Source organism: Homo sapiens, chromosome 2 (genome assembly GCF_000001405.40).
Source record: "Homo sapiens chromosome 2, GRCh38.p14 Primary Assembly".
NCBI lineage: Eukaryota > Metazoa > Chordata > Mammalia > Primates > Hominidae > Homo > Homo sapiens.
The window spans coordinates 206,519,936-206,547,503 of record NC_000002.12 but is presented as its reverse complement, the minus strand read 5'-3'; the positions used below and the strand labels follow the sequence as shown (position 1 = coordinate 206,547,503).

Here is a 27,568-nt window from a genome sequence, read left to right as displayed (position 1 = left end):
ACTGAGATTCTTCATTTGCTTAGAATACTGTCCTGCCAAGGTTTTCTGGATTATATGTGGTCGACCTGTGCTTTTCTGAAACAAAACAATTGTAGGCAATTTAGAAAGCAAGATGTGAACAAGCCTCTATGAAACAGTGTTGGAACTTTCTCTAATGTCCTTCCTAAAATGGGAATATTTATATGTCAGTTTTTTAGCTATCAAAAGTGAAAAGTATGTCTTATTGAAATCTTAATTTTAAATAAAAGAGTATCATCTAATTGCCCCAGTTTAGATAAAAACATAGTGTTACTGGTTACTCTTAAATCTTAGCTTTCTTTAAAGCTATAAATGGGAAATTCACAAGAAACACAAAAAGTCAATAAACATGTAAAAACATGCCGAATGCTTTCATATTCCTTCAACATGCATTTTTTTTAATGAAGCACCAACTTTTGCCATAAAACTGATGAAGTTTTAAAAATTACGATATCCATAGTTAATTACCATTGTAAGGCCAAAAGCACTCTCACACCTTGCTGGCAAGAGGAAATTGGTAGCATAGTTTGAGAGAGAAATTTAGTAAGGTATATCAACAAACGTGAAAACATTTACATTTTTTGCCCTAGAAATTATGCTTTTAGGAATGTCTATTACCATTATTCTTATTCCTATTAGCTTCCATTACTGAGTGCATAGTATGTATCAGGTACTGTTAATGTACACATTATTTAATTTAGTCCTGACAAAGACGCCATATAGTGCATGGTTTATCCCTATTTTACAAATAAAGATATTGAGGCTCAGGGAGATACATCATTGTCTTAAAATTATCTTATAAAATAATGATCCAATCTATTTTTAAAAATATATGGGACTATATCATTGAAAACTGGAAGAACATATTCTGAAACATGACAAGAAGTTATCTTTGGGGGACAGGATAATGGAAAATTACTATTTAAGTATTTGTTTTGCTTTTCCAAATTTCCTATATTAGTTTTATAATCAGAAAAAGTTATAAAAAAGAAACTTCTTAATAGGTTACATAAAACTTATAACAGTTTTGCTATTCATTTATTACTTGAGAGATAACATGAATTCTCATTAGAAATATCCCATGCGTATTACTTGACTTATCGCAAAGCATACTAAAATCAATAATATCTAACAACAAACATCAAAATATCTAAAATTAATTACAGTAAGCTCTAAATTCTGGTAAAAGGTGAAAAGATAGTAATGAAATTAACAATGGGATCAGCAACACAATTTAAAAAATCGACTAAAGTTTAAAGCACTATTCCTTTCCTCTACCCATAGTGTGGATGAGGACAAATCATTACATAACCAAAAGGTAGGCAACAGGAAGGAAGGCAAAGAGAAGGCAATTTGCATGTAACAATCAGGCCCTGAATAATATGATCACAAGTAAACAATGCAAAACCAATGCTTTAAACATTATAACAATAGTTTATATTTATAAATCCTTATGACAGTTTAATAGACATTGTCACCTACATTTATTAATTCATCAAATCTACAAAATTGCCCTACTATGAATGCATTAAAAATTATCTCATTTTATACATTTAAAAAACTCTAAGGCTTAAATAGTTATTATTTGGGAATCTGTGTTTTGTTCTTTGTGGATTTTGTTAGGGTACCAGGGCCATTAATCAAAGCCAGAAATCAAAGTCAGAGTTTTTGCTGAATGAGTCGAATAATTTTGCTGTACACAGATTATCTTTCCTTACTGGAGTGAGATAAATAACATTTTACTTAATCAAAATGTCTTTATCTAAGTGGGCTGTCTTCATTACCTGATAATTTTTATAGTTACTAGTTGAAAATGACAGAGGTTTATTCAAACACCAACCCTTTAAAACTTTTCTGCATCAACTTTGAAATTTACCCCATATTCATACATACATCGCCATAACCAAGACAATAAAAGTTTGTCTGTTCAGCTTTTATTATCAGTAGCCTATCTAACTGTTAGCTGTTTCAAAATTAATTAATTAATTAATTTATTTATTGAGATGGAGTCTCGCTCTGTCGCCCAGGCTGGAGTGCAAAGGTGCAATCTTGGCTCGCTGTAACCTCTGCCTCCCAGGTTCAAGCGATTCTTCTGCCTCAGCCTCCCCACTAGCTGGGATTACAGGCTCCCGTCACCACGCCCAGCTAATTTTTGTATTTTTAGTGGAGACAGGGTTTCACCATATTGGCTGGGCTGGTCTCAAACTCCTGACCTCGTGATCTGCGCACCTCAGCCTCCCAAAGTGCTAGGATTATAGGCGTGAGCTACCACGCCCAGCCCAATTTTATCTAAATTTGAAATCCCTAAAGATAAAAAATGTTTTCTGTTCCCCATCAAATAACTGCAATAATCTAACTCTATCACTCACAAAATATTATTTTCCCGCTACAGTTCTTTTCACTGATCTGACTTCTGTACTGTTACCTCTCAGTGCCTTAATCTCCTCCCATTCTTCCCCTTGTTCACTCCTCTCCAACCCTGTCAGGTTCCTCAAAGCTCCTCGAACACCCTAGGCACACTCCTGCCTCAAGGCCTTTGTATTTGCTCATCTTCTAGAATGTTCTTCCAGCTCTCTAATTTCCTTAAGTGCTTCATTCACCACTTGTCTTCTCTTGGTGGACTTCCCGGAACTGTGTATGTATAAAAAATTTAACTCCATCCTGGCTAACACGGTGAAATCCCGTCTCTACTAAAAATACAAAAAATTAGCTGGGTGCGGTGGCGGGCACCTGTAGTCCCAGCTACTTGGGAGGCTGAGGCAGGAGAATGGCGTGAACCCAGCAGGCGGAGCTTGCAGTGAGCCAAGATAGTGCCACTGCACTCCAGCCTAGGCGAAAGAGCGAGACTATCTCAAAAAAAAAAAAAAAAAAATTTAACTCTCCACTCTCCTGGCTTCACTTTTTCTCCTTACCATGTATCACTATCTAACATACCACATGTAATTACTTATTCATTCTGTGTATCTCTATCTGCCTCTGTAGACTGTAAGCCCCATTTGGCTCAATCTCTGTCTATTTTGTCACCAAAGTATCCCCAGAACCTAAAATAATACCCAGCTTGTAGTAAGCCCTCAATACAATATTTACTGAATATATGTCAAATTTTAAATTTGATTGCATTCTATTAGCAAGCAACACTATTAGAGCATGTGATTTCTTGTCTAAATCACTGGTTTGTGCATGACTCTAAACATTATTTTCTTCCCTATCTGTAAAGAAAACTAAGTATTTTATAATATAATCATAGTTCAGCCCACAGATTTCCCCACTAAAGATTTTCAGGTTCATAAAAGTTAAGTACATTCTTATAGTCACACAATTGTCTAAAGATGACAGTAAGAATGAAAGCTGTTTTTTTTTCTAATTTCAATAGGTTTTTGGGGAACAGGTGGTGTTGGGTTACATGAATAAGTTCTTTAGTGGTGATTTCTGAGATTTAGGTGCACCCATCACCCAAGTAGTGTACACTGTACCCAATGTGTTTTATCACTCACCACCTTCCACTTTCCCGAGCCTCCAAAGTCCAATGTATCATTCTTATGCCTTTGTGTCCTCATGGCTTAGCTTCCACATATGAATGAGAACACACAATGTTTGGTTTTCCACTCCTGAGTTACTTCACTTATAGTAATAGTCTCCAATTCCATCCAGGTTGCTGTGAATGCCATTATTTCATTCCTTTTTATGGCTGAGTAGTATTCCATGGTGCGTGTGCGTGTGTGTGTGTGTGTGTGTATCACATTTTACTTATCTACTTGCTGATTGATGGACATTTAGGCTGGTTCCATATTTCTGCAATTGCAAATTGTGCTGCTATAAATGTGTGTGTGCAAGTATCTTTTTCATATAATGACTTCTATGAAAGCTAGTTTAAAGTAAGGAGGCTGGCTAATACAAAACAAAATATCCTCTCTGCTCTTTTCATAGACTGGGAAGGACTAGGATTTGCTTCAGAAAACCTATGTTTGATGTCTTTTACTATCCTTTACGGGTACATGGGCCTGGCATGTGCAACTTAAAACTTCAAAACTCAGGGTACTACTCTAAGTTTGAAATAAGTTAACATGTACAAAGGCACTTTGAAATCTACACTCTTTTCTCTTTTCTTCTCAAAGACAAAGTTGCTGGAGGAGTAGAACGCCATCAGGCAACTGATGGCATAGACTCACCTCATCATGAACCAGCTCTAGTGGCTCTATCATATACACGAAGGTATCATCTTCAAACATGCCACTAGCACAAAAGAAACCACACAAAGGAGGGAATAAACAAACACAGGAAATGGCAAGAAATAGCAAGTGAGCTTCATTATTGTGTCTTCAAAATAAAGAGTATAACTGAACAAATCCCTTTACACTGTCACAAGTTTAATTCACATATCTGCATGGAGTCCCAGTGTGGCCCCAGCACTCTATTAGGCAGCATGGAGGCTATAAAAATTATAAAAGTATACATCAAATGCATGCAAATTATACCTGATATAACTGATGTTTGAAATTCAACAGACAGATTAGAAAATTACTCTGAGATAGGACTATTCACTCAGTGGCAGTCTCTAAAGTAATTATTCCAGAACCATGTACAACTATACAAATTTCTAATTATGCAAATTCAATATCATCTGTAAGAAAACAGATTCTTTATATATGAGAATAATCTAAAACCATCTGGTTCTGAAGAAGCAAACAGTGGTATCTTTACGCTTATAAATTCTGAACTGCCATCAAGCAGTATGACTCTATGTCATACAAATTACATTTAATTTTCAGGGACATAAGGTTTTTTATAAAAGGGCGAAAAGTTTCAAGATTCTTTGTCGTCACATGGCCGAAACTAAGTCTTTATATGAGGTGCTACTGTGTCCAGGTCTAAAAGGTGCCAACACATGGTTTTGTTAGAGCCCACCCCTAGGTCAATGTGCGAACCCCTCTCTTTGTCACCCCACCCTTGCCTGGCTAACTCCAACTTACTGTTAGGTCTAAGTTTCTTAGATCTAAGGCCTACTGACTCTCAAGTCTAGCTGTAGGTCTAACTGATATGTCCTCTGGAATATGCCGCTGGGAAACCTTCCTGGACTAGGTTTTGCCACTCCACAAGCATCTGTCCTTCCCCTTTACAGCTCTTAACACAATGGTGATTAAACATTCATCTATGTAATCATTTGGTTAATCTCTGAATCTCCTGCAAACACTAAGTGTTCAAGAGGACAGGGACATTGCCCTCCTTGTGCACCACTCCACATGCAGTCCCTAACACAGCACTGGCACGGAAGAGTCACTAAAATATATATATCCATAAAAGGGAAACTGGAAAGGGTCAATGAATAAAATGCCAATGAGATTCCCACTTACTGAAGTCCATTGCAGGTTGACAGAGCCACCTTGGAGTCTTTGACGCCTCTGATGCTTCCATGGTAGTAACAGTGCTCTCCACCCTGGAAAGCAGGTTTCATTGATTGGTTGTATTTTATGCATTATGATTAATTCTTTGGGTGCTTCCATAAAGCAAAAAGAAATGCAAGGATGGGCATATATGTGCACTGTATTAATAACCCTAGAAACTCCTCCTATATAAAGTTGCAAATAAGACTAGGCAATTTTTCAACTTTTTTATAACAAGCATGTGTGTGTTAAATTGAATGAAGGAGAAAAGGCTTTAAAAAACAATGACACCAAGGTAATTAATAAAACATACATTTCTTAAGTATGTATTGTAGGAGTACAGGTACTTTTCAGATGTTGTTATAGAATAAGGACTTCCACTTGACTGAAGAGAGACTCCAAAAGTTTGTTTATAATCATTTTTAATGGAAAATTATACAATATCTTATTTGTTTTCTTACCTTTAAAAATTAACTTTAAAAACATTTTAGAAGCAATATATGAATGTAGTTTTCAAAGTCAAATAATAACTACAAGTTTTATTTTTAAAAAAACACAGCAGTTTCCTTTGTCCCTCTTTCCCCTCCACCTCCAAGGCAACCATTTTTAATGTTTTAAGCTGTTTCTTCTGGTGTTTGGCTATATATTTTTGAATGTTTATACTTTTTATGTTCTGACTAATTCCATTTTAGAAATTATCTACCTAATATAGGATCTCGAAAACCTCTCTCACCCCCAGTACATTCTAATTCATATCACCAGTTTTAGTTAAATCTATATTCATTGTTTATGTGTACACAAATATTGTTCACAGCTCTGCCACTATAATTATTGTATTTTCATTCTTGCTCCATTTTTATTTATTTATTTATTTTTAGAATTTTTGCTCCTTTGTTGTACTGGGTACTCTGTGACACTTTTATTTTTATTTTTTTCTTGGAGACGGGGTCTTACCCTGCTGCCCAGGCTGGAGTGCAATGGCGTGATCTCAGCTCACTACAACCTCCGCCTCCTGGGTTCAAGAGATTCTCCTGCCTCAGCCTCCTGCTGTGACACCTTTTAATCAAGAAAACTATGCACTTCAGTTCTGGGCAGCTTTTTAAAATAAATAATAATAAATTTTTATTATTATAAAAATAATATTTATAAATAATATTTATAAAAGAATTTTATAATAATAAAAATAATAATTTTTATTATTTATAAAATATAGCTGAGAATTCTCTCCTATCCATTTTTTTCCATACATGAGCTCCTACCAGACTAGGGAAGTCCCCGACTTCCTATCTGCTTATCTGGCTCCACAGGGCAGGCAGTGAATTGGGGACTTAACCGCTCTACATCTACTTTCAACCAATTTTTCTTTTTTCAGATGCTTTTATTTCTGCCTTTCTGGGATAAGTGACATAAGTTGACTTGTTTCTTCTTGGTTTCCCCCCATACGAACTTAGCAGAGCATGAAAAGCTCAAAGCTAAGAGTCACTCCTCATCCACTTTCCATCTCCTGAAATTTTATGGCTACATCTCACCTGCTTGTTTTCTCTTCTCCTGTCTTTGTATTGGTGGGTTCATATCCTTTTTTATCCCCTAACTGTTATTTAGGTGGGTTATCGGGAGAAAACAGAGATAAATATATATTTATAAAGTCAGGGATTGGTTCTAGAACTCCTACATATTTCCCAAATCTGCACATACTCAAGTCTCACAGTCGGCCCTGTGGAAACCACATATATGGAAAGTCAGCCCTCTATATGCACAGGTTTTGCATCCCACAAATACTGTGTTTGGTTGAAAAAAGTCTACATATAAGTGGACCCGTGCAGTTCAAGGACAACTGTGTGTGTGTGTGTGTGTGTGTGTGTGTGTGTGTGTGTGTGTGTGTGTGTGTACAGTGAAGGGCTGCTTTTCTTTTCTTTTCTTTTTTAAAGACAGTCTCACTCTGTCGCCCAGGCTGGAGTGCAGTGGCATGATCTCAGCTCACTGCAACCTCTACCTCCCAGGTTCAAGCAATTCTTGTGCTTCAGCCTCCTGAGTAGCTGGGATTACAGGCATGCACCATCGTGCCTGGCCTTGAATCACTGTATTTTTTTAAACTTAAATGAGACTTCAGGCAACATCCAATCTCTGATGTTTATCATCATAAGAAAGTTTTAATAGCTAAATTGTGTAGTTATATTAAACATTATAAACAATTTGGTAGCTTCCAATTTAATATTAGTACTAGCAGTATTAGAGGATTTTCTGATTTTTTTATTACTAAATTAATACCAAGTTTTTAAAGAGTACTATGGAAAAATATTATTTGGTAACACTTCAGACCACTGCAAAGTAAGATCTTGAGTTATCTCATATAAAATAAATCCTGAGAGAGAAAGAGCAATCCATCTTGGGTGCCAAGCATAACAGAAGTGGGCCAGTACAGGGAGCCCACTTCTTAAGGGCACTGGCAATCATGACTTTGGACAGTCAGCTCCAGGGGTGCCTTCCACCCAGGGATCTGGCCATCTTCAACAACCATTACCTCACAGTGACTGCTGTCTCCATGTACCCATATGGGGACAGAAACAAAGTGCAAAAGGCTCTTCTAAAAATAACAAAAAGACAAACTGATTCCCACATCTTCAGGTTCTCAAGTCCATGTTTCTTTCTCCAGTTAGGAAGACCTCAGACAATTAAAGAGGGCTGGCCCTGACCACCTAGGAGTGGGTCACAGACCTGTGACGTGGCAAATGGCAGCAGGGACAACCAAAAAGGGCTCGATTCAGCCCATGACACAAGTCTCTGTGCACCCATACAGACATCAGCATTTTCGGATCCAAAACTGTCAGTTAATTAAATTCAACAGAAATGGAGCATCTGATAAGTGGAAGTTATTGGCTAGTCACAGGAAATTAAAAATCCTAGTATGCTCCCTACCTTTCTCAGCCTGCTACTTGCACATAGCTGAACACTCCACAAGCCATATCATGCTCAAATAATAACTCTGCTCCACAAGGTTTCCAAGCTCAGAATCCCATTGGAACCTACCAGGCTTCCTCTTCATATACTGACACATTGAAGCCATGTCCATCTTTTAAAATACTTCCTAACCAGAAATGGCTGGGGATAATAACTTTGTGAGTCTAGTGATTACAACTTGTAGGGAAAAAAAGATCCAGTTCTCTGGTATTACTAATCTAATAACAGGAACTGGACAGGCATCATGGCTCATGCCTGTAATCCTAGCACTTTGGGAGGCCAAGGAGGGAGGATTGCTTAAGCCCAGGAGGAGTTTGAGACCAGCCTGGGCAATGTAGAAAGACCCTGCCTCTATAAAAAATAATAATGATAATAATAATAATAGTAATAACAACAGGAACTGTTTGATTCTACTCATTTTAGTGGAAATAGAACCAATAGTTTTAATTTGGTTTTTAAAAGCACCCCAACTTTGTGTCTAATTATTCCATCTGCATGGTAAAGTTCCATCAGCCAGTTCTTTACTGCTTATGAAACTCCCAAAAACCTGGACATTGATAGTGACCATACACTGATATTTTCAATCTATTCCTGCAGGTCTGGATAAACATTTGAAAAGAAACTACACAGTCCTTAACTAGAAAATGTGTATATTATGATATCTAGGTTCTGAATACAATAATAAAAACTACTGACACTATACTCAAATGATTATTCTATATACATATCTTTAAATTCTTCAAGCTTATCAACTACTAGGATATGCTAAACTATTTTAAAAATCAGTGAGCTGATAACAAATGAGAAATAGAAAAAGATATCTATAATGGGACATGTATACCTGATTTTGAGTACTGCAGAATAAGGAAATAAAAAACAATAATTTTGGAGACTTGGGGAACTTGAGACTCCCAACACACAAATTATTAAATAATTTAATTATTTACCTTCATTAAATTTAATGGGGAAAATGTTCTTGCAGTAGTTTAATAAAGTATTAGAACAGTTTGGCTGTACCAATGCTATGTAAATTTTTAATAGTTCACATAAATTATACTATTCAAACTTAAAATAGCTTTGTGAGGACTAGTGTCATCTGCTATCTTGATTTCTTGGGGCATTTTTTAACCCCGTGCTCCTTTCATATTCTATAATGTACTCCGAATGTTGCCAGGAAGGTCAATATTTTGAATGATTAATAATAATTTCAACTTTATACTCAAAATTCAAATAACTGATAATCCTGGATCTAATTTAAGTGATTTAGTGTGGATAGTTCTGTTTTCCTTGTTATTGCTTAAATTATTATTTATGCAGTGGTAAGAAACTTTTTAAAAAACTGGCTATTAATTCAAAGACTAGGGAAAAAATTCTAGTGTACACGCAAGTAAAAGAGTCATTTTTAGTATAGGAGTGGAAATACAAACTTTAAGTTATCTCTGGTTAGAAACAATACAAACACGAATTTTTAAACCCAATTATGGCAAGCTGAGAGGCAGTAAAAAAGAAGGGAAAATAGATTTAAAAAATAGTCTGAAAACTTCATTAAAATATTACTAAAAGAAGAGGGAATGAGAAAAATAAAGGAAAGGAAGCAGAAAGAGGTGGGGAAACACTCAGAAAAGGGAAGACAGGCAGACCCGTGTGTCTGAAAATACCCTGACTCCAATACAGCACCTCGGCCAGACTCTGACTGACTTCTGCAGGGCCCACCCTCCCTTACTCATACACTGGACAGGGTCTTCAGAACACGCACTCCTCCAATCTCTTCCACTCTGCATCAACCCTACCTCCCAGCCAGGAGCCACGCGCACAGAGACCTACTCCACCTGATCACAATCCATGCTCTCCTGCTGCCAAAAACCCTTCACTCTTAGAAGCGAGCTTGAACTGAGCTGTGATGATGATTTGATAAGGAAAGCACAAAGAACATTCTAAAAGGGTGATGTGGTTATACTGATAAAGAAAAGAATAAAGGTGAGAAGAGAACACAGGACCCATAAGGGCAGGGATCTTTATCTGTTTGGTTCACTGATACATATCTAGTACCTAGAACAGGAACTATGACCTCAAAAAGGTCACAGTACAAGGTAAATCAATATTTTTTCTGCTTTTTTGTTTTCTAAAAGTTGTATATATCAGGCCAGGCACAGTGGCTCATGCCTGTAATCCCAGCACTTTGGGAGGCTGAGGTGGGTGGATCACTTGAGGTCAGGAGTTCGAGACCAGCCTGGCCAACACGGTGACACCCCGTCTCTACTAAAAATACGAAAATTAGCCAAGCGTGGTGGCACGTGCCTGTAATCCCAGCTACTCGGGAGGCTGAGACAGGAGAATCTCTTGAACCCAGGAAATAGAGGTTGCAGTGAGCTAAGATTGCACCACTGCACTCCAGCCTGAACAACAGAGTGAGACACTGTCTCAAAAAAAAAAGTTGTGTATATCTAAAATATACAACATGATATTTTGATATACATAGTGAAATTATTACTATAGTCAATCAAATTAACATGTCTTATTTCTACCTCACAGTTACGTTTTAAGCGTGTGGCGTGACCACCTAAAATCTACTCTCTTAGCAAATTCCCATCATACAATATGACTGACCATAGCCCTTATGCTATCCATTCCATCTTTAGACTTAGAGCCTATATAACTGCAACTTTGTACCATCTGACCTACATCTCTCCAACCCACCACCCCACTCCCACCCCTCCACCTCCTGCCCCTGGTAACCACTGTTCTATAAGGTTGGTGCAAAAGTATTTGTGGTTTTTGACATTACTTTCAATGGCGAACACCGCAATTGCTTTTGCACCAACATAAATACATATTCGACTTTTTTAGATTCTACACATAAGTGAGGTCACAGAATATTTTTCTTTCTGTGTCTGGCTTATTTCAACACACACACACACACAAACACACACGCAATGGAATAGCATTCGGCCTTAAAGAAGGAGATCCTGGCATTTGCCAAATATGGGTAGACCTAAAGGACATTATGCTATACAGTAAAACCATATTTGTTTAATGAATGAACAGGAATGGCTTATTCATGAGCATATGTGACAAGACCAATCCTAAAGGATTCTTGTTTGATGAAGAGGGTGGGTAAATAAACTCTTATTCCCCACCTGGGTTTTTTATTGTTGTTGTTATTTAGATATAATTCAGAAATCATAAAGTTTACCTTTTTAAGTATAAAATTCAGTGTTTTTCTTCGCATATTCACAGAGTTGTATAACTATCCCCACTATGTAGTTCCAGAATAGTCTCATCACCTCAGAAAAAAGTCCTGTAACCATTAGCAATCAGTTTCCATTTCTCCTCCCCTCCACTCCACCAGGCCCTGGCAATCATGAACCTACTTTCAGTTCCTATGAATTTGCCTATTCTGGACATGTCAAATAAACAGAATCGTATCATATGTGCCCCTTCGTGTATGGCTTATTTTACTTAGCATAATGTTTACAAGATTTATCTTTTGGTGTAGTATGTATCAGTGCTTCATTTCTTTTATGACTGAATAGTAATTCCACTATGTGGATATGCCATATTTCCCTTATTCCTTCAACAATTGAAGGACATTTAGGGTGTTTCCACCTTTTGGCTACTATGAATAATGTTATGAACATTTATGTACAAGTTTCTTTGTGGACATATGTATTTAATTCACTTGAGTATATGCCTAGGAGTAGAACTGCTGGGTGATATGGTAACTCTTTGTTGAACTTTTTGAGGAACTGCCAAACTGTTCTGCCAAGCAGCCACACAACATTTTACATTCCCACAAGCTGTGTATGAGGGTTCCAATCTCTCCACAATCTCGACAGCACTTGTTATTGTCCATCATTTTCATTATAGCCATCCTCATAGGTATGAATTGGTGCCCACCCAAGTTTAAAACTAAATGAGAGAGTGACATAGAATTGAAACATCAAAATGTCACCTTCATTTATTATAGAGCTATACTGGAGGAGAGGATTAGTTGAGAATCTAATAGGCCTGCTAATGCTGCACCCAGGAGTAGCTAGCCTTACCCACCCAGGCAGAGACAATGTGGGACAACCTAACCCCAGCCACATACACACATGTGGGTGGCCACAGTACAATTCAGAGAAGAGAAAGGTGGAGAGAATGTACTCTTCTTGTAGGAAGGTAGATCCTACAAAAAAAAAAGAAAAAAAAAGGGAGGGAGGAACTGGCTGCACAGACATACTTTCCCAGCAGTCAAGCCGCTCTTCCTTCCCTGAGCAAGAATGAGCAACGGAATAGGAAGAAGCCAGGGTGAGGAAATAGACCTAGGAAAAGAAGCCTTCCCCACCTAATAATGATAGTAATAAGGTAGAGGGAAGTTGGGATGGAGGCACTTCATCTATTTATTCATCATGACTGCTGACGTAAGCAGAAGAGAAATCAAAGTATTAGTAAGCACTTACAAATATGTATTAGCAGCTCACCAAAAAAGACTTAATAGAAATATGTTAATTTTGAAAAGTACTTTCATAGTGTTTTGTTGATGCTTATTATTTTATAAGAACTGAAATGCTAAAAATTAACTTATTTAAATAGGCTCATCAGCAAAGTTGGTCAACAAATATATAGTACTTGAAACATGCTAAGAGGGTGGATCTTAAATGTTCTCACTACAAAAAAAAAAAAGATAACTATGTGAGGTGATGGGTGTGTTCATTAGCTTGAGTGTGGTGACCATTTCACAATGTACCAACATATCAACCTGATGTTTTGAATAATACATACAATTCCTATATATACAATTTAAGTTACATACCTTAAATATATGTAATTTCTATTTTTCAATTATATCTCATTAAAACTAGGGACGAAAAAGGAAACTAGTCACAAAGGCCCACCTATTATATTATTTCATTTATGTCCAGAATAGGCAAATCTATTGAGATAGAAAGTATTAATAGATTAGTGGTTACCTATGGTTGGTAAAAGAGAGACTGGGGAGCAACTGTTAACAGGTGGTGTGGTTTCTTTATGCAGTGATGAAAATATTCTAAAATTAGATTATGTTGATGGATGCACAATTCTGTAGATATACTAAAAACAATTATATGCTTTATGATACATAAGTTATATCCCAATAAATTTGTTTAAATAAGAAAAGTAAATAAATTACTTTTTAAAGTTGTAAAAAAATCAACAAAATAGTTTTATTATATATTATGTGCAAAGCACTGGTAGGAACTTAAACAAAAGCTATTGCTCCATCAAGTGCAGAACAAAAGTTCTTCCTTATTCTTGGACTGATACCTAGCATTCATATTACACGCTTCTTTTGGACCTCTCGAGCTCCTATATTTGCTTCACATGGAAAGAAGCACTTTTAACCCATGTCCATGCAATAAAAGTAAAAGCCAAGACATTAATCTTTTCTTAGTGAGAAGTAAGAATGAGAGAGGGGCTTGTTAGTGGTGAAATGGGAAAACCTAGACAACCCTCTTTGCAAAGTATGGTTGCAACTAATTCCTGGGATGCTGTCAATATCCACATTCACATTTAACTTCATAGCCAAATAGACTGTTCTTTAGTTACGTGGAAAATATTGTGTGTCTACATGTGTGTGTACAATGTGTGCATGTACTTTTCTCTAAACAATTTGAGATCTTTGAGCCGGGCACGGTGGCTCACGCCTATAATCCCAGCACTTTGGGAGGCTGAGGCGGGTGGATCACGAGGTCAGCAGTTCGAGACCAGCCTGACCAACATGGTGAAACCCCGTCTCTACTAAAAATACAAAAAAAATTATTTGGGCATGGTGGCAGGTGCCTGTAATCCCAGCGACTTGGGAGACTGAGGCAGGAGAATCGCTTGAAACCAGAAGGTGGAGGTTGCAGTGAGCCGAGATTGCACCACTGCACTCTAGCCTGGGCAGTAAAAGCAAAACTCCATCTCAAAAAAATAAAAATAAAAAAAACAATTTGAGATCTTTAGGGGAAAAAAGGCTGCATTATGTGAAAATAAGTTTAACCTAGCCATTCTTACATATTAATTTCCTTTTCTGGTACTCTGTACAAAGATTTTCTGAAGCAGCATAAAAGACAATCTTCATGAAGTTTATTTACAAATGCTTTAAAAATATATATATATATGTAATGGTGGTGGGAATATGAATTTATACAAACTTTCAGAAATAAAAATTGTTAATATATATGAAGAGTGTTAAAAAATTGTACCAACTCTTTGACCCAGAAAATTCCTTTCTCAGAATTAATTCTGAAGCAATTATAAGGGATGTATTCAAAACGTATCTGGAAGGCCTTCCCTTGAAGTTATTCGGATAGTGAAAGATTGGAAAGAGTCAAAATGTCTATCACCATGGCATTTTTAAACATATTATAACAAATGAATTAGAAATAATATTATGAAATTTTTAAAAATTAAAGGTTTAGAAGATTACTTAATATATGCTAAAATATTTAAAATTTTGCTACATTTAAAAAATCTTGATATAAAATAGTGTGCACCATATCATCTTGGGTTTTTCTGATGTACATAAATACAGACACATAAAAAACAGACTGTTAGTTCATTATCTATGAAGCACGTAAGTTTGGGTATATGAGCTGTTTGAAGAAAATGGGTCATGAAAGAGAGAAAAGCAGTGAACACAAAAACAAACTGCAGTGAACACAATTTCTTTTGCTAGAGTTGAAATACCTTTTAAGTTTTAGTTACAACTGATATCAGATTTGGAGTGTCTTATTAATGATAAGGTCTCCTTTTGGGACCTCAAATGACCTCTGGAGGCCAATTAGCTATTCTGTTTCTTTAAAAAAAAAAAAAAAGTAACTAAGTGCCTTAGTGAGAAGTCTGGATCAGGTTTCTGTGTCCTGCAAATGTGGCTCGTTTGCTGAGTCTATAAAGTTCCCTGCAATCTTGTCTACTCCAGGCTCATGATTCAGCATCTGCAGTGCTCAGGGCCCTGGCACAGCTGACAGAAGCTTCAGTTTGTACAAATGCCAGGAAGCTTGTTCCCGCGCTTGATTTAGCTTTTCTGCTCACTTTCCACAGCACTAACTTTTAGGGAGACTCAACAACCCCCAAATGCAACCTAAGGCAAGAACTGACAACTAATAAGAATGATACATGAAAGTTCTTAATCTGTGGCACAAAACTCAAAGGCTGGAAAACACGTCCAATTACAAATTGAAATGTTATAAATCCTGAGACATGCCAGGGCCTCCTGAGCAGTATTTATAATGAAGGACACCTATAAACATTTGCTGAGAAGCCATCAGATTGAAAATCCCAGTTACCTATATGGCACAAGTCCACATACGGGAAAGGTGCTACTTTTATGCTGACATGTGTTAGCAATCTAGGAAAAAGACAAACAAAAATCCAGTGAGGTTTCCCCACTTTGTTTCCTTTCTGGTGTCCCCAGTAACTGGGACACTGCTCAGGTTCAGTGGCACTTGTTGATTCCCTAGAAGTCAGAGTTTCTTTCTGTAGCCATTCTGGGGATCTTCACCCTGACTGACGGAGGTCACTGTTTCTTACATACAAATCATCTCTCTCTCTCTCTTGCTTTAATCCAAATCCACTTGCTCTTTATTAATCCTCCCTGAAGACAAGAAAGTTCATCTCCAAATGAAGGAATCAGATACCCAAGTACCCTCATATTCAATGTCCCGTGGCCTTAAGCAGGCTTATTTGCCCTCTCTCTGCCTTAATTTCTTCCATAGTACAGCAGGAATAATAACATCCACCTCATAGAATTGTTATGAAGGTTAGAGAAAAAGTACTACCTAAATCTCACTTCCCCCACCTGTCCTCTGCCCTTCTTGGGCAGCAAAATCATTTGCACTAAAGAACCGTTCTAACAGCCCATCCAGTCTTCTAATCCAGATTCGATGGCCATGAGCCTCATCCTTCTTTACTAACTACTTTCAGGTGCTGATATGGAACTGTATAGCTCTTTATACTATCACAAAAGGTACTGCATGTATAATCAAAACAATAAACATTTTTTGTCCTGAATACCTAACGTTACCTCAAACATTTGTATATTTTAATAAATTTCTCCTCACTAAAAATAGTATCATTGTAAAAGAGCACAGGTGATTTTACTGAGACAGACGTCAAAACAACGCAGTGTGCACTGATCAACTCTATGATAAGCACACTTATACTAGAGTACTTGCCGACGCCGGTAACCGTACCTTAGAGTACTGTGGTTTCCCATTTTCGTAGTGAATCTCCACATAATCAGAAGACAACAAACCACTACAAAGGAAAGAAAATAGAGTGATTTCTGCATCTAAGACACTTGGAGGTTTAAAAACAATCGGCTCAATAAATGAACGTGAGGGGCATGCAAACCAGAAATAGCTGCAGTCCATGGTTAGTACAGAAACAAAAACAGGTTATCATCGAGTTTCACACAGTATCCAGGAATAAATTACTCCCCAATCTGCAGAAAAAAAAAAAAAAAAAAAAAAGACAAGACACAGACAATCCAACGGTGAACTCTTTTTTTTTTTTTTTTTCTTTTTGAGACTGAGTCTCGCCCTGTCGCCCAGGCTGGAGTGCAGTAGTGCGATCTCGGCTCACTGCAAGCTCCGCCTCCCGGACGGTGAACTCTTTTTATTCACATTATTCAGGATCTGATTGATATGTTAATTAATACAGAACAAACCAAAAGGCAAGTAACTTGAGGAGACAGATCCTATAAAAATTCCACAATTATGCCCTAAACAGTTGGAATGTCATAAAATGTAATCACCAAGGAAGAGTATAAAGCAAAGGTCAGCAAGGGTTTTCTATAAAGGCCAGGGAGTAGATATTTTAGGTTTTGTGGGCCATGCGGGCTCCACTACAACTACTCAGCTCAGCCATTATATTGCAAAAGCAGCCACGGGCAGTATGTAAACAAATGAGCATGGCTGTATTCCAATAAAACTGTATGGACACTGAAATTGGAATTTCACATAATTTTTATGTGTTATGGAATATTATCCTTCTTTTGATTTTTTTCAACCATTAAAAAATACATAAAACAAAGCCGGGCATGGTGACTCATGCCTGTAATCCCAGCACTCTGGGAGGCTGAGGCGGGTGGATCACGAGGTCAAGAGATCAAGACCATCCTGGCTAATATGGTGAAACCCCATCTCTACAAAAATACAAAAATTAGCCGCGCGTGGTGGCACGCACCTGTAATCGCAGCTACACAGGAGGCTGAGGCAGAAGAATCGCTTGAACTCAGGAGGCGGAGGTTGCAGTGAGCCGAGATCATGCCACTGCACTCCATCCTGAGAGACAGAGTGAGACTCCATCTCAAAAAAAAAATGTATATATACACACACACACACATATAAACATTCTTAACTTGCAGACTGTACAAGTTAAGAATGGCCAGAGATTGCTTGTGTGCAATAGTTTGCCAATTCCTGGGATAAAAGGAAGGGTAAGGGGTCAGGCACAGTGGCTCACACTTGTAATCTCAGCTTTGGAAGGCCAAGGCAAAGAATTGTTTGAGGCCAGGAGTTTGAGAACCAGCCTGGCAACATAGCAAGACCCCCATTTCCAAAATATTTAAAACATTAGCCAGGTGTGGTGGCATGCACCTGTGGTCCCAACTACTAGGGAGCCTGAGGTGGAAGGATTGCTTGAGCCCAGAAGATCGAGGCTGCAGTGAGCTACGATTGCACCACTGCACTCTAGCCTGGGTGACAGAGTGAGACCCTGTCTCAAAAGAAAGAAAAAGAAATTTAAAATAAATAAATAAATAACAAAGGTTAAGAAAGTCATTGAAGTCAAATAGTGTTTAAAACCTATTTTTTAAATAGGCAAGTTCCCCAACTTGTATGTCAAATGGAGATGGTCAAGGATGTGAATCTCATAGAACATTGTGAGGATTAAAGGAAACCATGAATATGCAGTATTTAACTCAGACTATGCAGTACTAGGCTAAGTACTGCATTTCTTAGCCTAGTACTTATTCAGTACAGAGTACTGAGTATGCTGATTAGGTACACATTAATTGGCATTGTGGCAGTCACTATTTTTATTTTAACTCAACTTCTTAAAACATATTTCTCCCTATACAATGTGGAAATACAAAATATGTGCCTCCTGAAGAGCACTGGATTATTAGGGCATCTAGGTTCCTGTTTGGGCTCTATCACTAGGAATAATGACAAGTGATAACTCGCATTTGCTGACCACTTACTATGGCACAGGTACTGTTATAAGGACTATAATGGTATTAACTCATTTAATCCTAATGGGAACTGAAGGACAAGAGTAGGTCCCACTCTAAGCCAGCTGTATGCTCTAAACTTGGGTCTTTATTTCTTCTTATGCAAAAATGAAGGGCTAAAGCAGAAGATTCCTCAGCTCATGCCCTATTCTGCTATTCTGATTTTCTATAATTTTGCCTCATAGTAGGTTTTCTTGTTAGGAAACCGTGACACTACTTCTTTAGCTGAAAAATGGGAGGACTCAATGATTTTGCATCATTTTGAGAGCTGCATCTGATGCATTCTAAAAATAATCCAGTGAAGAGGGCTGGAAAGGGGTGTTGAGCACCAGTCAACAGAGTAACTGGGGGCCTCCTGGGTATGTCCTGCGTATGTCCTGTGTGTGATGAAGGACAACCTTTCCAACACAGAAAGGAAGCCAATGCTTAAACTTTAGACATGTTTCCCATTAAAATCACAAACCAAATGTGTACTGAAGGATAATTCTACACTTGAAACTAAATTGTGGTATGTCTACTCATTCCTTTTTAAAAATCTCAGATAGTAAAAGTAATGACAATTACTGAACTCTGTATACATGGGGAATATCTCACAGGGTGCAGAAACTTATTTCACTGCTAGTTAATTAAGTTGGCTACCAGCACTATGATATACATAGATGAAGCTGGTGATGGTATCATTCTTCTGCAGAAAGCTTCTGCAACACCAGGAGGCAGAGAGGTCTCCCTAACTACATTCCAACTGTGTCTCTCTACAGGTAATTTACTATTTTCAACATTTTCAACCACACAATCATTGGAGCACATCTAAGAGTTGGAAACAACGTTATCTTAATTTTGCCTGTAATTACAAGGGCATTCTAACCATGAATTCCCAAATCTCATAAAGGTCACTTTAATTATCCTATTTCCCTCTTTTTAAGGGTCTCTTCTTCTCATGAACATACCTGTTTCTAGTATCTCTGGCATTTTAGAATCTTAAAGAAGAAAAACAGCTACTTTTCAGGAGGTCTATGGCAAATACTGAGAGAAATACACCACCATATGCCCCTCCTCACCATGCCAGTCCACTCTTCTACTTCCTGTAAATAGCACACATCCCCATTTACTCCATTCTTTCCTTCTGTCTGACCACAGCCAGCCTCCCTTGAAACTAATTATTCCACTCATCACAGTATCCCTAGCACCTGGCATAATGCCTAATGCATAGTAGGCCCTTAATCAATATCTGCTGAGTGAGCAAACATCTACCAACACCTGCTATAGGGGCTTGGAAACAGGGTGAAAAATGCAACTTTCAAATTGAAACTAAGCAAAATCAGCACAAATGTGCAAGATTGATCACCTCACTCAAAAATATTATTTTGTAATCTCCTTGAGAGTGAATTACATCAACTGAAATGTAACCTAATTAATTATAAAAGTCTTGAAATAATAGTGAAATGTAATTTTTGATGATGGACAAGAAACACTAAAAAGGGAGAAGGGAATAGTTGATTGTGCAGTGGTGTCTCCAGCCCCACCCAGCCAGGAAGGAACCGGTAATCTATGTCTCCACATGCCTGAAGATGAGTTGTCCTTTCCTCCACCTCTGCTTTCTGTAGTCCTAATACAATTTCCTGTTGGAAACAGAATGTTCTGAAATGCTAATACTCATCTATTTAGCAATTGCGGACCCAAATATAAACTGGCATTTTACTTTGTTGATCAGCCAATTGGATGTTTGGTTCTGAAGATGCTAACAACTTGTGGGCAAACTCTGAACATCCTAAATTCTAAAATAAACATCTTTTTTCAATCACTGAAGCTACAGAAAAGCTGTATTCTCTGGCTACTCCCATGCTTCTCATGCAGGTTATCTGTTGAAAGAGGAGTGACCTTTATAAGTAAATGAATAAACGTAGGATGGAAGTTCAAGCCAGTGAAAGAAAGTGGAAGAACTAGAACAAGGAAACTCTTGAACCCACTCACTCTGCCCTTCATGGTGAATCTGCACCACTAAAGTGGTGAAAACTCTAGGAACTCTAGAATGAGACTAAATATGATTTTACTCAAAATATGAAGAACATGTAAGAGCAGGAGAATATAAAACTATTGAAACATGACAAATGAGCCAAGAATCAGGTCAATGAAGGGAACTGTGGCAGAAATAATGCTGTGTGTCCACCAAATGCTATTTCATTTTCCCCTTCCTGGCATCCTGATAAGACCACATTTTGCAGGTTCTGCTGCAGTTAGGTTAGGGCCAAGACAATGGATCATGGCTAATGAGACATGAAGGAAGTGATGTCTGCCCCTCTAGTGTGACCACTAAAATCCCTGCAGGATTATCTAAGCCCTCTCTTCCATGGCAACCCTGGAAGCCACATGCTCCAGATGGCATAACAGAAATATGAATGCAGCCTAGACCCTTTCATCATGATTTGGAGAAGAACTGTCTAAAAGAGCTACTCAACTTGCACTATATCGCAGTGTGGGGAAGAGATAACATTTTACAGTGCTGAAGTCTCAGATTTCATGTTTGTCACTGAAACATTGTCTAAACTGTCCTAATTTCAGGATTTATCACAAATATCTTTTAGAAATCTATGTTCAAAGAATTTCACAATCATCAGCAACTATACAAGCAGAGCTGCTATTATATTTAGGAATTGGAAATTCACAAAAAGAGATTTACCTCAGGAAAGTTTTATATGTATGTGTATAGACGTGTGTCTGTGTGTGTCTGTGTGTGTGTGTGTGTGTGTGTGTGTGTGTGTGTGTGTATTTGTTGGAATCCTTGAATATGAGATTCATGTTTCTAATGTAAGTAGACACATAAACAGCCATGTGGTCAAAACTCCCAAAAGTTTATATCTTCCATTACAAGGAAGTTCCATATGGAGAAGCCAAGGATTCTAATAATTGGAAAAGTTAGGTACCAAGATTCCCTAGTATCTAGGAAAGCTATTAACCAAGAAGAGTAGATCCAGTTTTTTTGGAAAATAACTTGAACCCCTTACTTTAAACAAAGAACCAGCCAGACGCGGTGGCTCATGCCTATAATCTCAGCATTTTGGGAGACTGAGGCAGGCGGATCACAGGGTCAGGAGTTTGAGACCAGCCTGGCCAACATGCTGAAACCCCATCTGTACTAAAAATACAAAAATTAGCCAGGTGTGGTGGTGAGCGTCTGTAATCCCAGCTACTCAGGAGGCTGAGGCAGGAGAATTGCTTGAACCTGTGAGGCAGAGGTTGCAGTGAGCCGAGATCACACCACTGCATTCCAGCCTGAGCGACAGAGCAAGACTCTGTCTCAGAATAAAACAAAACAAACAAACAAACAAACAAAAATATGCTTCTCTTTGGAGTAATTCTGGTCAGAAAAGTTTAAGGGCAGGCTGATCAAAGAAAACAATTGTTCAGAACAAGACGACGTGGCTAACTGGGCCTTGGGCTATGAGGAAGGCTACTAGAAAAGATATACATTGGACCACAAAGGAAATCATTTTTTCTACATGACTTAAAATCATTTACTTCATTGTAAAAAGTGGTTGAACTACCAGTCTCTGGAAGTCCTTTCTAGTTTTAAAATCTGTATTCTCTGAAATTTTGTATTAAGCACTCAGTTTATTTCTAACTAGGAAATTGAGTGAGTTGCTGAGAACAAGCTTGTCTGAAGGAACCTAGAGGCCCACACAGCATTTCTTCACCAGCAGAACTAGGTAAAAAAAAGTCTAGATGAATAGTAGCAAGCACCAAGGCCTAACAACTGGATGGCCATATAATTTATCATCCAAACTAGGGCATTTGTGGAAATGAAAAGAGGCATATTAATAATTGTGCCAGGACAACAGACATACATAAACCAGGAAGGGCTATCCTGGGAAAACTGGGGCATATGGTCACCCTACCTAAAGGCCAAATTTAAGGTATACACATCGAGTTCTACATGGAAGGTCAGGTTGGTCTACAAGGTGGAAAATACTCAAAAGCTGAGATTCTAGTAAGCAAACAGTCTGTGAGTATGTCCTCTCCTCCAGTTGCTTTTGGGTTCTGTCATCATACTTCACATGGCCACTGATACAGTTTGGCTGTGTCCTCACCCAAATCTCATCTTGAATTGTAGCTCCCATAATTCCCACGTGTTGTGGGAGGGACCCAGTGGGAGATCACTGATTCATGGGAGGCAGTTTCCCTGATACTGTTCTCATGGTAGTGAGTAAGTCTCACGAGATCTGATGTTTTATAAGGGGAAACCCCTTTCACTTGACTCGCATTCTCTCTTGTCTGCCACCATGTAAGACATACCCTTCACCTTCCACCATGATTGTGGGGCCTCCCTAGCCAGGTGGAACTGTGAGTCCATTAAACCTCTTTTTCTTTATAAATTACCCAGTCTTGGGAATGTCTTTATTAGCAGAGTGAAAATGGACTAATACAGCCACTGTTTTAGGAAAGCCTTGAGTAGGTGCCTTAGGCTCTCTCAGTGCATAACATCAGTAGGTGGATCTGGGCAAGAGGAGTCAGCAGTGTAAGTTGTGGAAGTCAGGAAGCTATGAGATCACATTCACTGCAAGACACTGAACTTGTCAGGTGGTGACTAGCCATGCACCTTGCCATACATCTTTGTTCCTAAGTAAACAGTAGCACAAATACCCTAATTCAATTCTCAGTAGTAAAACATGTAAGTTACTTCCATATGTGTTCAAATTGGGACTGGAACAGAAGTTAAACAAACAGTAGAAAAATTAAATGATATCTAGAAAAGGAGTACCACAAATGCCCATATTTCTCATGCAAAGTCAGTCATCTGATTATCTGCTGCTTGAAAGTACTTAAGTTCTCAGTACTGGGAGCCCTAATCACACCTAAATGAGCGCTGACATTCATCCAAGAAGTCTCCTACCACCCCTTCCTTCCAGGTACACATTTCATTCATTTAATGACAACCAATGCTGTCACTGCGGAGACTCTCAACTTCATGGAGCCTCGAGCGTAGTGACATTGTTATGCCCAAGGCTCCATGAAGCCACAGTGAAGCATCGTGCCCGCTCCCTCTTTCCATTAGAAGCTTCTCTGTTTTGTCCTTTTATACACATAAGATATTTTAAATTCACTAGATAATTACTGTAAGTGGTAATGCAGACACAAAATTTAAACTCAATACATTCATATAAACATAAGCTTGTATCCTACAATTATGCTTGCTCTTATATTTCTTTTCTTTTTGTAACAGAAGACTTTAAAAGTATAACAATTTTTCAACCATTACTTTTCTAAAGTTTTAAAAAAAAAATAGACTCATACCACCTAAAATAGTTTTCATACCAAAAGTTGTTTCAGCTAAAAAATATACACTCCTTTGAGTGTAAACAATACAGTAAGAATTTTAAGCTACGTTAAAAGATCGAGGACATGGAGAGGCTGGGATTTAAGCATGTAGCAATGATATATTAAGTGGGTGAAAATAATTATAGGTTGCATAGAGGCTTTGCGTTAAGTCAGACAAAGATGGCATGCCCGGCAAGGGCTGGTAAGTGTGGGCACATTTCATAGGAACAGAACTGCAGGCAGAGAATGTTCCTAGCATGAATAGGTTATAGAGGTTTTTCTTTGGGGGTAACAAGAGAAATTTAATGATCTCCTAAACCATATGAGAGATTGCAGTGGAAATGTAAATGTGTAGGTACTCCTGCATCTCAGGTAATGGTCCCATTAGCCATAATAAAGTTTAGAAAACCCTAGTATAATGAGGACAGGAAACATAGGCAGGCCTGCAAGCTAATTGTAGAGTGGAGAAACAAAGAGTTAGGAGACTTGAGGTGATATAAAAGCTGAGAACCCTCACTCAGCTGGCTTGATCAGCCTAAAAGCCAGTGAGAGTTCCCTTCTGAGGAGGGTGGTATCAGAAGAAAAATCTTTAAATAAAAGATGAAAGATGTTTCGTTTCTTCCCCTTAACTTAAAGCTCGACCATATGAAGTGGATAACACATTTCTAGTTGTGGCTACCAGTGTCTCTCCAAGTTTCCAGTAATTTTGAGATTCCTTTATGACAGAATCATGGTTACTTTCACAATCTAGTTTTACCCCCGTATGTCATAAAACCAAAAAAAAAAAAATTAAACACAAGGAAAACTGGATCCAAATAAAAAAGGCCTATCTTCTGCACATAGTTACACATCACTGAAATGCTATGATGAACAAATTTCAAAGCTAATAATGAATGTAGTTGGTGACTATTGCTAATCCAGCTTCTTTTCTGATACATCCAATATTTATTAACATAACTATAAAGCAAGCATCACACATAGAGAAATTGCAGAGAACAGAAGAGGATCCATGATCAGCTTTGCCTTCTGGTAACCTTGTACAGAAGAAACTACTCTCTTCCAAGTCCAGTTTTTGCCACATTCTAGGAAAAGAACTCTTTTCATTTTTTTACTTTTTTCTTTACTTTTTTCATTTTTCATTCTATACAGAAAAACTGCACATCTGTTTATATGGTGTTCTATTCTTCCTAGGTATATATAAAATAGCCAAAAGAATAAAAAAGAAACCAACAGAAAAACTATCAGAAATAATAACAGTTAAGTAAGGTGACTGGTTACAAGATAAATATGCAAAAACAAAACACATTTCTAGATGTACAACCAACAAAAAACATCTAAAAATAATCTAGGGGGAAAAGTTTCTACTAACAACAACAAATTTTATATGTGTACAAATATAGTTGAATTTATTTATATATGTATAATGTACACAGAGATATATATATATGAATATACATACATATATATTTACATACATATATATAACCTATGAATAAACTTGGATTTAAATAAACATGAAGAATTATGTATACAACATGCAACTCATGAAAAAAAGAAAACAAGAAATATTCATGGTGATCAATCATACACCAACCTACAGCTGCACTAGCAATAAAATACCTGTGAATTAAAATAATGAAAGAGATCGTTTTCCCCCATCACTTTAGAAAATAAAAATGAATGACAGTAGCCACTGCTGGCAAGGATGTAGGAAAACTGGCATGCAGAGGGCAATTTGGCAATAGGTATCAAAAGCCCTGAAAGCATGTTCACCCTATAATCCACAAGTTCCACTCATAAGGGTTTCCTGAGGAAATGACTAGACAAAAAACAATACATGCATGATGTAGGTGAGAGCAGCTTTCAAGGCTTTCACACTTAGAAAGATGTTCACAACATCATTCAGTGAAAAGAAAAATAAAAGAATACTATGCTTGGCAACTTTTTAGAAGTATGTTTATATACATACATTCACATATAGAAAAATGTCTGAAAAGGTGTATACCAAATGTAGCAGTGAGCTACTGTTTCCTGCAGAACTTTCAAGAGTTTTTATTTTCTTTCTTTTGCTTAACTGTATTACCCAAAATTTTTACAATGAATGTATACTGCCATTTTAAGACGAAACCACAATACAAGCTATATTTTTAAAGGAAAAGAAGCATAGTTCCTTTAATAAAGGAATTATTTAATTAAGGACTAATTTCGAGTCCAGGAAACACCAGGAACCACAGACATTCACAATACCACCACCTACCATGCAGGGAGCAGCAGCTGACCAGGCTTTCCCTACATCCCCTAAACTCAATGAGACAGATGTTCCCTGAATATCAGCTGGTGGGAGTAGGTAAAGACAAAAAGAGAAACAAAATGCCTCTCACCGTCAAGGTGATTATAATCTCATTGCTAAAATAAGCCAAGGCAGCAGTTAGCCTACTACCATAAATAACAAACAAAGCATCAAGCAGCCCTCAAGGAGAAAATTAATTTCAATTAATATGATCAGGGAACCCTTTAGTGAAGAAGCAGGGCTTAGGCAGTCTCTACGATACAATTTGGACAGGGAAATATGGGCAGGAAAGAGAAGATCCTATAGACAGGGACCACTGTGTACAAATCCATGAAACAGGAAAAGGCAAAGAGGCCTATTCAGGGAAAAGCTAAAAGTCCAGTTGAGCTGGGGCATCAGTGATATGGGGCAATAGTGTTGAAAAGGTGGGTTTAGAAACAGTGATCCACAGGCTTAAGCAAGGGGTAGGACTTTCAAAGGAAAGGGAACTCTAGAACCAGAACTCAGAACTTGGAAGGCTATTTATAAAGGCTGAAAGCAAGCAGAAGCTGCAAAGACTTCAGGACCTGGGAAGGGCTGAACACAGATAAGATTCTTTTACTGGGTCAATTAGAGCCATCAGCAAAGTAATTAATGTTAGCAGCAGGAGAGAACGGCAAGAGACCAGCAAAGACATTAAGGAGCAGCCTCTCCACATATGAAAACCTGTGGCTTTAACTGTCCTCCACTCATTCAATTAACGGCCGAAGATACTGAGTGAGAGAAAAAAATAAGAAGAAGAGAATTAAAGAAATGATTAACAAAGATAAAGGTTTTTAACTAAATGTTGCCATTTCTTTAAATTCTTTCACTGTAAGTTATAGATGTTTGTCCTAAAATTTATTATGCAAATGCTAATGTGTACTTTGTAATTTTACACTGTTTTAATAAAGGAAGAGTAAGATTTTTGTAGAACTACTACTATTGTCTTTTGTGTGCTCTCTTCCTCTCTTTTTGTCCTACCTAGGAGAAGCCCAACTCTTGATTTCTCCTGCACCACCACAACCTGAGCCTGGAATATATCTACTGGCTGAACTGAGACAGGGGCCTCTGTAGAGCAAATCCCCAAGAGACAGACTGAGGGCATGTCTGCACAACCCTGTAAAGTAAAAGGCATTTGAAGTTGTCACCCTTGATTTCTCTGTACTATACAGAAAACAATATTCTGTGCAATCATGGTACCCTTCATACATATAACACAGGAATCTTTAGAGATGATAATCTTGCTCCTTTTTATTTTTTATTTTTTTGAGGCAGGCTCTTGCTCTGTTACCCAGGCTAGAAGGTGGTAGAAATATCACGACCCACAGCAGCCTCAACCTCCCAGGT

At 37.7% G+C, this 27,568-nt stretch overlaps 1 protein-coding gene across 3 annotated transcripts in view; it reads right to left on the bottom strand.

Moving 5' to 3' along the window:
• Positions 1-27,568, bottom strand: part of ADAM23 (ADAM metallopeptidase domain 23) — a 177,596-nt gene that overhangs the window by 73,624 nt on the left and 76,404 nt on the right. For all 3 annotated transcript variants that reach the window (NM_001410985.1, NM_003812.4, XM_005246932.4), the window contains exons 4-7: positions 16,556-16,619; positions 5,370-5,452; positions 4,188-4,251; positions 3-75 (exon numbers count right to left, since the gene is read on the bottom strand). In NM_001410985.1, coding sequence (NP_001397914.1) covers positions 3-75; positions 4,188-4,251; positions 5,370-5,452; positions 16,556-16,619 — 284 coding nt within the window. The remainder of the gene's footprint in view (positions 1-2; positions 76-4,187; positions 4,252-5,369; positions 5,453-16,555; positions 16,620-27,568) is intronic.